The sequence below is a fragment of the Homo sapiens genome, chromosome 2 (genome assembly GCF_000001405.40).
Source record: "Homo sapiens chromosome 2, GRCh38.p14 Primary Assembly".
Lineage (NCBI taxonomy): Eukaryota > Metazoa > Chordata > Mammalia > Primates > Hominidae > Homo > Homo sapiens.
This window is the reverse complement of record NC_000002.12, coordinates 116,087,815-116,099,553: the sequence shown is the minus strand read 5'-3', so window position 1 is coordinate 116,099,553 and position 11,739 is coordinate 116,087,815. Positions and strand designations below refer to the sequence as shown.

Here is an 11,739-nt window from a genome sequence, read left to right as displayed (position 1 = left end):
ACTTCCCAGTAAGTCATTAAAAATGCTAGTACATGAGCCACTCCTGATTCAACCTCTTGATTCCCTGTGTATCCCCTATGAAGATATATGTATTTTTCCTATTGGAGATACAATGCCATAGAGAGGTCTCTAATTCCTGGTGTACTAATTCCCAACTAGTACTTCATTTGCACATTCAACAGACCATTCCATCCCTCCGTCAGGCAGCTTCCACTGATTGGTGTGTATGAGACAACCAGTGGATCTCTTGGTCATGGGACTACTGCTCATCCTTTGCTGTAAGTGACTCTCCTGGTCAGAAGCTGCGTTAGATGGGACTGTATGAGTACATATTAGGCACTCTGGGAGCCTCTGGATGGTGGTGCTAACTGAGGCTCCGCAGGGAGGAAACGCAAACCAATATCTGCAGTAAGTATCTATAAGAACAAAAAGTGTTCCTATAAGAATACATAAATGCCACCAAATGGCTTTCTAGTCTCCTTGAATAGTAGTAATATGGGGGACAAATTGTCTCTGTTGCTGGCAGGTTGGACGCTCAGAAATAGCTGTAGTTATTTAGGCCCTGGTTTGTGGGAATCTCTGCTTTTGGGCTGTTGCATAGCCTCCATCTCTGACTTCATGGCCACTGCATTAGTGAGTCATTGAGCAAGCACTGGGATGGCTGCTGACTTCAACTGGCTGACCCATTTATTGTACTTGGTTGGCAGTGTCTCTGCAGTGTGTTCTCTGCTGGGTACTAATATGTGATGCAGTGATCTTCACACATTGTCTCTACTCTTATATGTTCATCCTTTTGTCTCTACCTTAGACCTTTTTGTCTTTGATCTTCCAATGATTCTATTCTAGAGCCCTGACAAACCAGCCAGGTTATTTGCAACTTTATGTGAGTCTATATATTCTAATCCTGAACCACTTTCCTTTCCACACAGAGCATGCCCAGGTGTAGTGCCTAAAGCTTTTCCCTTTGGGAAGATTCTCCCTTGCCACTGTCAGTCATGGCCACTTCTGAGTAACTAGCACTCAAAAGCTGAGGTGGGCCTTGAGGTGTTAGCAGTCCCCACACTTCCCAGAGCTGGGCAATGAGCCATTTCTTGAAGGAGATGCTGAGCTGCATGTCTTCATGTCTGCCACAAGCAGACGTTTACTATTCTTACATACTCAGCATTCTTTCCCCATTCTTTTGGTAACAGTGCTTCCCTTTTCTTTAATGAAAAACTCCTCTCTTTTATGAAATCCTGGAAAGACTTTGAATAAAGCAGACCTTCTCCTCTGATCATGTTCCTCTGACTCTTGTCCGCCCTCTCTGGCCAGAGGATGAACATATGATCAAACTGGGCTAATCATAATCTCCCCAGATAAGTTATAACTGTAAAACTACAGTTACGACAAAATAAGAGAAATATCAGCTCTTGGCAAATTCTGCTTTTCCTGCCGCTGATATTTCAGTGGTACACTGAACGATTCTCTAAGCTACTCCAATATCTTACATCAAATGCCTTTTCTGTCCTGTAAGTTAACCAGAGTAAATTTTTATTGTTTGCCATAAAATCCCTAACTGATATGGAACTCTGAAAAATTGTACAACTAGACCTACAACTCTAGGAGAGGGTATTTATTCAAACTGAAAAAGGTGTCTCATTCTGGACAGATGCAAATATATGTATGCACAGCTTGGTGAGCATATGGCCCCTTTGTGCTAATGAGGAAAAGACGCCCCTTGAAGTGGTCTTCTCGGTGACACCCTCATGCAGGATTCAACCTTGAATATCTTTGCTTGAGGCAATTCACTGTCTATCTCTTATCCGACAGCAGAAAGAGAAGGAAAATAACACAGGGAAGAAACATATTTGAAATACAGAAATATAATATTTGTTATGATACACACCTAAGTGGGACACAGAACTGATATTGACTTTGAGCCGAGGGTATGGGTTAACAGAAATGAAGTCACTGATTTCCTCAGAGTTGATGGTACAGAGATTATAAGGGAGTAGGAAAAAAGTCACATTTTAAAAAGCTTTGCTTTTGAAAAAAAGAAACATATCGTTTATCCAGGTGGCTCTAATTTAGAAGTGGAAAAGTTAACCAAAGTAATTATTCCAATTTCATCACAGAAAGAACCATTAAAAGAGAAGAAAGAGTTCATTTCAGAAGGACACAACTTTAGCATAAACTTTCAAAGGAGTTCATTCCAATTTTTATTTAAAAAGCCTTCTTAAATGCATAATGTTATAAAAGTGGAAGCTTTGTACAATTCTTAGAAGAAACTATTTGATGAAAGAAAAGTAGGTTGTATTAAAAGTTTATAACTGATTATAAAAAGTTTTCAGGAGAAACCACAGAAAACAATTTTTCATACATGAACGGATAACCTGGATACTAATATTCATGCCCCTGAATGGACAAGAGGGACTTTAAAGGTCATTCATTTAATTTTCCTAGCCCAAGTCTTGTCTATCTCCAGGTAGATCAGATATTTCTTACCAACAAGCATAAAGGAAAATTCCAGAGCCTCCCTGGAAGTCGCTTCAGGACAGGAACATACTGGAAAGATTATCTAGCACAGGTTGAACCTGTGTAAACACTAGAAACAAAATGAGGGGCAATTATGTCTCATGTAACTTAACATGGAAATCAATTAACAGTTTAAACTCTGAAAATGTACTATCTTCTTATTGGACAAATACTTTTATTTAGTACCAAATCCACTGGATACCAGTTTGTTGTCTGTATAATTTTATTGGAAATTCATTGTTTTTAGGTAGTAGAATTCACCTCAGGTTCTAGAAATGGTAGTAGAATTCACCCCAGGTTCTAGAATTCACCCCAGGTAACAAGGCGAACTCCAACAGTGCCTTCTGCCATACCGGCCCTAAGTTTCCATTTGGGATGGGCATTTGACCTGAAATCTGAGAATATTTGATGGGAAAATTGAGAAAATCATAATTTGCCACTCTGTTGCTTTGGGCACTATAAGGCCTAGTACTTCTGCCTTGCACTGTTCAGCACTGGGCCCAGAAAAAAGCAACACTCAGGAGATGAGTGTCGACAGAATAGCAGAGAAATGGAGCTGAATTCTTGATATGTCTGAAGCTTGCCTACCTATTAATCCCTTTCAATTCTTTAAGACAAAAAAAGTTATATTTATAGCTTAATTTATAGCTTAATTCATTTTGAATACAGTTTTTTGTTTCTTAAAAGCAAAATCACCCCACTTAATATTAGTAAGATTGGGAGTGATGTGTTGTTAATAGACTGTCCTCAATTATGTTATGCAGGAGAAGAGTGTAGAATTTTCTACCTCAAGTGAGAAATTGAAGATTTTTCTACATTGGTGATACAATTGTTAGTGAGTGGTCTCTGGAAAGTTTGGTCATAAATCGCTTTAATGTAGTTGCTGCCTCAGCATCCATTTTAGTTGTCTGAATCCCTGTCGACCCTGTCACCTTTGGCCTCACTAAAATTTCCCTTCCCTGTGGTTGCCTGTAGTGTAGCCCACTTATTCCTCATCTCACTAACCCAAAACGCAACACATCCTACAACTACTGATCACAAAAGACGCTTAATCATTAACACCAGCGTCATGTAAATAAGTTTCCCACTTTCTGATATGTTTTCTTTAAATTAGCCCATCCACAAACGACACAGAAAAGCCAAAAAGGTAATTCCTATGGACCTTGAGAAAGGCATAGTCCCCTAGGTCCTCTCATGCTAGTGGAGCCCCCTACTGCCTCTGGACTTCCCATTAGCCACCCTAACATCTCTGAGATCCCTAATAATGCATTTCTTCTGTTTCATGCATTTTTTTCACTTCCTCATGTGTCTCACTTGACACATACACCTGAAATTAACTTCCCCTATCAGGGTTCTTATAGAGAGTAGATAGCTTAGCATATGGTCACTGTCCATAGACAGACCTCAAGACCAAATTAGGAAAAGATCACAACATGGAGTGAATAGGGTAAAGATGGCTAACTACAGGCATTTGACAGTTGCCTCCTCCAGAAAGAACTAAAATTATGAATAGATATTCACTCTCAAAAAGAGCATATAAGACAGAACATTGAATACAGCAGAGAAGTGACAGAAAACATCTGAGGCACAGGAGAGGATAAAGGAGTTAGCCAGTGTAGCCAGGATCAGCTGGGATCCTCAAGACTGTCCCCAACCCCCTGGTGCAAGGAAAGGGTAAGTGAGAGATCCTCAGCAGTCCACATTCCCACCGAGGGTTCCTGCAATCCTAGGCACAGGAGAGGCCCATGACCCACATAGCCCCTTAGATTAGCATAGGCAGTTGCCTGGAGATACCACAAAGGCACTGCTCCAGAGAGGGAGTTCATGCTAGGTCATACACACCCCTGGAGACCTAAGAAACTGCAGCACAATGCCATGTTGAGAGTCCAGTCTCCATCAGACTGCATCCTGCCCTGGTGCTCAACAGCCCCTGCATCTCCACATCTTGGGAGCCCTCCCTGAAATTCCCCATGTCCACTTGGAGGGCTGCAGTGGTGCAACACCAGGTAGACCCAACAATGTGGCAGCGTCCCCATAACTGTAGGCCACACAGAGTTCTACACCCCAGGGAAAGGGTGGTACAGCACACCAGGGAGGCTGCCCTAGGAAAAAGGAAACCTAAGCTGTGGAAACTCCCCAGGGGTTAAGAGCTGCTTTCCTGGGGCTGCTGACAGCAACTCCAACCCCAACAGCAGCAGTCTCTGCTCTAGCTTGTGCTCTGAGGACTAACTCCTCCTGCACACCACCATGGCTGTGGCTACTGCCAGGAGCCAAAGTGAGCAACTCTCAGAGCCTGAAAGCTGCCTATATGGGGCTACTGACAACAAGCAGCATGGCTTCTGTGCTCTAATATATGCCCTAAGTATGTCCTAAGTACGGGATATCCCTGAATACCACCACAGCTGCTGCTGCCACTGGGGAGCCAAATATAGACTCCCCAGAACCTGAAGGCTGCTTGTCTGCCTGCTTGAGTCTGCTCCCACTGACAGCAACTCATTGCCTCCCAGCAGCAGGACTGCTGCAAAATTTCACACACTGTAAGAACAGGCTTTCTCTCTCTACCACTGCAGATTGCCCTACCCTACCTACTGTAGCCTGCACCCATGTGCACCACCAGAGGGCGTGAGTTCAGGCCTGCTTGGCCTGGCATCATCCCCCACCAGTGCCTGAGCATGCCACCCAGGGACCTGGGGAGCACCCTGGCTGGTCCACCTCTGCTAGCACCTGTGCACTCCTCCTGGGAACCTGAAGATGGGCCCACACAGCCTGCCACCAACACCACTGCTAGCACTTGCCTGCATGCACCAACTGGGTTCCAGGAAACTGGCATGCCTAGCCCATCACAGCCCTATTAACAAGAGCCACCGGGGAGCCTAAGAATTGCCACATCAGTGCTACTACCATTGTTCATGCCATACATGCTATTCGTGGGCTTATGGACCCACCCACCCATCTGGCCCACCACCTCCATTGCTGGCACCTGAGTAAGCTCCCTGAAAGCCCAAGGATCAGGCCACCTGGACCTGCTAACACCAGTGCCTGAATAAACCACCTAGGTGCCCAGAAAAATAAATATTTGGCCTGCAGCTGCCACTACTGGGGTTCAAAGACTGGCCCACCTGGCATCTTTATCCCTAGCAAAGGTTCACCACAGCCTCCACTAACAATGATACCCAAGCCACTAAAGAATTCACAAATACTACTGATGCTATTCACAGCTGAATATATAATTCAAAGACTGCATTACTGTATGTACCCAGAATTAAAAATACCATACTCAATCAACATAGACACATAGTCAGTAAAATTCTTCCCCTATGAAAGACAATCCAAAGAATGAAATAAGTGACCATTTCACCAGATGTGCAGATATAAATGGAAAGATGCCACATATGTGAAAAGCAGGAAAATTGGACACATCCAAAGAATTATAATTCTCTAACAAAAAATTTCAGGAAAAAAGAAATGATGAAATGCCAGAAATTGAATATGAATAAAAATGCTCAGTGAAATCAATTGAACACATAAACAATATAAAGAAATCAGAAAAAAAATTCAGGATATGAATGAGAAATTTACCAAAGATATAGATACCATTAAAAAAAAGAAAATCCCCGAACTTAATAATATATGAAATTTAAAAAAAAAATGTATTCCAGAGTTTCAACAACAGACTAGATTAAGCAGAAGAAAGAATAACAGTGGATTTCTCAGGAAAAACAAACAAACAAAAAACCTTACAGGCCAGGGGAGAATGAGATGATATATTCAAAGTGCTGAAAGAAAAATCAGTCAGTCAAGAATAATATAGCCATCAAAGTTATCCTTCATAAATGAATAAGAAATCAATCTTTCCCAGATAAGCCAAAACTGAGAAATTTTTTTTTCACCATTAGATTGTCCCTACAAGAAATGCTTTAGAGAGTCCCAAACCTGGAAATGAAAAGATGATATATACTATTGTGGAAACATATGAAAATATAAAACTCCTTAGTAGAACAAAGACATAAATGAGGAAGAGAAAACTCAAATGTTATTTCAAAAAACCACCAAACCCTGATGATAAACAACAGAGAAATAAAAAAGAAAAAAGGGATATACAAAACTACCAGAAAACAATTAACAACATGACAGGGATAAAACCTCACATATCAATAATGACCTGGAATGTAAAGAGATTAAATTTTCCACTTTAAAGATATATACTGGCTGAATGTAGTTTTTAAAAATGATGCAATCATGTGGTGCCTACAAGAAACTCACTTTATCAGTAAAGACGTATATAGAGTGAAAGTAAAGGAATAGAAAAAGCTATTCCATAGAAATCTAAATCAAGCAGGAGTAGCTATACTTACATCAGCTAAATGCACTTTAAGTCAAAAACAGTAAAAAGAAAGAAATAAGGTCATTACATAATGATAAAGGTGTCAATCCATCAAGAGGATATAACAAATCTAAATATATATACACTCAATGCTGGAACTCCTAGATATATAAACCAAATAATGCTAGATCTAAAAGGCGAGATAGACTCCAATACAATAATAGTGGGGGAGTTAAACTCCTCATTCTTGACATTAAACAGATCATCTAGACATAAATTCAACCAAGAAACACTGGATTTAAACTGCACTTTAAACCAAATGGACCTAACAGACATTTATCTGCAAAACATTTTGCACAAACCCTGCATTCTTCTGATCAGCACATGGAACATTCTCTGGGATATACCATATGTTAGGCCAAAAACCAAGTGGCAATGAATTTTTAAATATTAAAATTATTTGAAATACCTTCTGAGATGACATGAAATAAAACAAGAAATCAATACCAAGAGGAGTTTTTAAAACTATACAAATATACAGAAAGTAAACAACATGCAAATGATATCACATAAATACAGAAGATAATCAAACACTATCATGAATTACTATAAACCAACAAACTGGAAAATCTAGAAAAATTGTATACATTTTTGGACATATGCAACTGACCAAGATTGAATTGGGAAGAAATGGTGTGGCCTCACTGCTGAATTCTACCAAAAATATTAACCAACATCAATTTGCCTCAAACTCTTCCAAAAAATTGAAGAGGAGGGAATTCTCTCTAGCCCATTCTGTAAGTCCACATTATCTTGATATTGACACCAGACAAAGACATATTAAAAAATAAAAAGAAAGAAAACATTAGATCAATATCTCTGATGAACATGGACACAAAATATCTTCAACAAAATACTGGAAAACTGAACCCAACAGCACATAAAAAAAGTACACCATGATCAGGTGGGATTTATTCCAGGGATACAAGGATTATTCACTATACGCAAATCAATAAATGTAATACGTTACATCAACAGAATGAAGGACAAAAAATATCTGATCATTTTTATACATGAAAAATAAGCATTTGATAAAATAAAATATCCCGTTGATAAAGAAAAAACAACATTGAATAAAGTGAGTATAAAAGGAACATACCTCAACATAATAAAGGCCATATATGACAACCAAATAATGAATGTGGAAAAGCTAAAAGCCTTTTTTCTAAGAACTAGAAACTAGACAAGGATGCCCATTTTTTCCACTGTTACTCAACATAGTATTGGAGATTATTATAGCCAGAGTGGTCAGGCAAGAGAAAAAAAAAATCAGTCAAATTGGAAAAAGGAAGTCAAATTGTCTCTCTTTGCAGAAGACATGATCTTATATCTAGAAAAACCTAAAGACCCCACCACAAAATTTAGATCTGATAAATTCAGTAAAGCTGCAGGATACAAAATTAACAACACTAAAAATGTCATTAGTGTTTCTATATGTGAATAATGAACGAGCTGAGAAAGAAATCAAAAAGGCAATTCCACTTATAATAGCTACAAATAAAATACTCAGAAATAAATTTAACCAAGGGGGTGAAATACTTTCACAAGAAAAAAAAATTAAAAAAACTGATGAAAGAAATTCAAGAGAATACACACAAATAGAAAAACATCCCATGTTCATGGATCAGCATAGTTAATATTATTGAAAGTGACTATACTACCCAATCTATAGATTCAATGGAATTCCTGTCAAGCTATTTACATCCTTTTTCACAGAAATAGAAAAAAAATTCTGAAAGCTAATATGGAACCAAAATTGAGCCCAAATACCCAAAGCAATACTGAGCAAAACAAAGTAAGAACAATTATACTACCTGACTTCAAAGTATATTACAAGGCTATAGTAAAGAAAATAGCATGGCATTGTTATGAAAACAGATATATAGGCTAAAGGAACAGAATAAAGAACTCAGATAGGCTGGGTGCAGTGGCTCAGGCCTGTAATCCCAGCACTTTGGGAGGCCAAGGCGGGCAGATCATGAGGTCAGGAGATCGAGACCATCCTGGCCAACAAGATGAAACCCTGTCTCTACTGAAAATACAAAACAACAACAACAACAACAACAACAACAAAAACATTAGCTGGGCATGGTGGCAGGTGCCTGTAATCCCAGCTACTTGGGAGGCTGAGGCAGAAGAATAGCTTGAACCCGGAAGGCGGAGGTTGCAGTGAGCCGAGATCGCACCACTGCACTTGGGTGACAAAGTGAGACTCTGTCTCAAAAAACAAAACAAGACAAAAAACCAAAGAACTCAGATTCCACATATTTAAAGCCAATTGATTTTTGACAAGGCACCTAGAATATACATTGGAGAAAGGATACACCCTTCAATAAATAATGCTGGGAAAACTGGATTTCCTTATGCAAAAGAATGAAACTCAACCCCCATCTCTTTTCATAAACAAAAATCAATTCAAGATGGATTAAAGACGTCACATATGACCCAAAACTATAAAGGTGCTGGGAGAAAACATAGGAGAATCATTTCAGCACATTGGTCTAGGCAAAATTTTATGGTTAAGACTTAAAAAGCACAGGAAAGAAAAACAAAAATAGACAAATGGGACTATGTTAAACTTAAAGGCTTCTGCACAGCAAAGAAAATAATCAACAGAGTTAAGAGAAAACCTGTAGGCCGGGCGCGGTGGCTCACGCCTGTAATCCCAGCACTTTGGGAGGCCGAGGCGGGCGGATCACGAGGTCAGGAGATCGAGACCATCCCGGCTAAAACGGTGAAACCCCGTCTCTACTAAAAATACAAAAAATTAGCCGGGCGTGGTGGCGGCGCCTGTAGTCCCAGCTACTCGGGAGGCTGAGGCAGGAGAATGGCGGGAACCCGGGAGGCGGAGCTTGCAGTGAGCCGAGATCCCGCCACTGCACTCCAGCCTGGGCGACAGAGCGAGACTCCGTCTCAAAAAAAAAAAAAAAAAAAAAAAAAAAAAAGAGAAAACCTGTAGAATGAATGGGGGAAAATATTTGCAAACTATTCATCAGACAAGGGACTAATATGCAGAATATACAAGGAACTCATTTCAATACTAAAAAAAAAAACAAAAACAAAAAAAGGAAACCCAAAAGAATTGCATTAAAATGTGGGCAAACGACATAAACACATTTCTCGAAAAAAGACTTACAAATGGCCAACAGGTATATAAACCAATGTTCAACATCACTCAGGATCAGGGAAATGCAAATGAACACCACAATGAGATATCATCTTACCCCAACTAGAATGGTTATTATTAGAAAGACAAAACAAAACAGATGCTAATGATGAAAGAAAAATGAACGTTTATACATTGTTGGTAGGCTTGTGAATTAGTACAGCCACTGTGGGAACCAGTATGCAGATTTCTCAAAGAACTAAAAACAGAACTAAACCCACTACTTGGGTATTTATGCAAAGGAAAGGAAATCAGCATATCAAAGGGATACCTGCAGCCTTATGTTTATTGCAGCATTATTAATAAGAGCAAAGATATTGAATCAACCTAAGTATCCATCAACGGATGAATTGATAAAGAAAATGTGCTACACATACACAACAAAATACTATTCAGCAATAAAAAAGAATGAAATCCTGTCATTTGCAGGGACATGAATGAAACTGGAGGTCATCATGTTAAGTGAAATCAGCCAGGCACAAAAAGACAACTATCCCATATTCTCACTCACATAGGGGAGCTAAAAAAAGTGGATCTCCTGAAGATAGGGAATAAAACAATAGATATCAGAGACTGAAGAAGCCATGTGTGAGGGGTAGGGAAGATAAAAAGAGGTTGGTTAATGGGAACAAACATACAGTTAGAAGGAATATGTTCTAATGTTCCATAGCAGAGTAGGATGACTATAATGAACAAAGTATTGTATATTTCAAAATACCTACATGACTTGAAATGCTCCCAACATATAGAAATAATAAATATTTGAGGTGATGCACACCTTATATACCCTGGCTTGATCATTACATTCTATGCATGTAACAAACTATCACATGTACCCCACAAATATGTAAAATATCATGTATCAATTAAGAAAAAATAAAAAAATAAGTTTGGACATGGATGTTGTGCTTATAAAGGTCACAGCATTAGGGGACATGGCTCAAAAGTCAGGGTAGTGTTACTTGCTTGCTATTTTTGGTACTTTCAATAAGTTCATTCATCACAGAGATAAGCGGCTTTGAAACTGTTCTGCAGAGAAGCAGAGGAAGATCCGCAGCTTAACAATGAGAGGCCTTTCTGCCTGTGGCCTGCATTCCATGTTGATGACACTCAACATTTTGAAACATTTAAGATTTAAGAACTACATTTTCTACCTCAAATCTTTTCTAATGGAAACAGTAAAGTTAAAATTATGATGGGTTTAAGACTGTGACACAGGAAAAGCCGGATCCCCAAAGCCTCCTCACACAACTCCAGCAGAGTAATCTCTGTTTGTTGTAGGAAATAATCACTTCAGTGTGAGAAAAAGCTGGGAAGCAGCCTGGGTTGAAAGGGCAATTTACCTTTACCTTGTTTCCCTAGGTTCACTTTGTTCAATGTGCCCCAAAACACATTTCAGTTGAAGATTAGAAAGATAGACGCACTTGTTGAGAGTGGACAGAAAACCTCAAGCTCATTAGTAGCTGCAAATGTTGGCCAGGTAAGAGTCTACGACCTCTAGTACATGAAAAACATTAGAAGTTACTATAAACCGTGTAGATAAAGAGTCTGACTGCTTTTTAAAGAAAATATTTGATAGCTGACATCTTTTAAGCCTTATCCTTACCTCTCCCCATTGTGGCCCACTTCTGGGGAAGCTGATGAGAAAGCCTGGCTGCCACCTCTTTTGAAGCCA

At 39.4% G+C, this 11,739-nt stretch overlaps 1 annotated feature.

The window, feature by feature from the left end:
- Positions 4,734 to 5,233: an enhancer, noted in NCBI's record as "H3K4me1 hESC enhancer chr2:116851897-116852396 (GRCh37/hg19 assembly coordinates)". NCBI's record gives its function as "activates a minimal SCP1, AML or CMV promoter by ChIP-STARR-seq in naive H9 embryonic stem cells {active_cell/tissue: H9 hESC(naive)}" and the evidence as "EXISTENCE:reporter gene assay evidence [ECO:0000049][PMID:30033119]".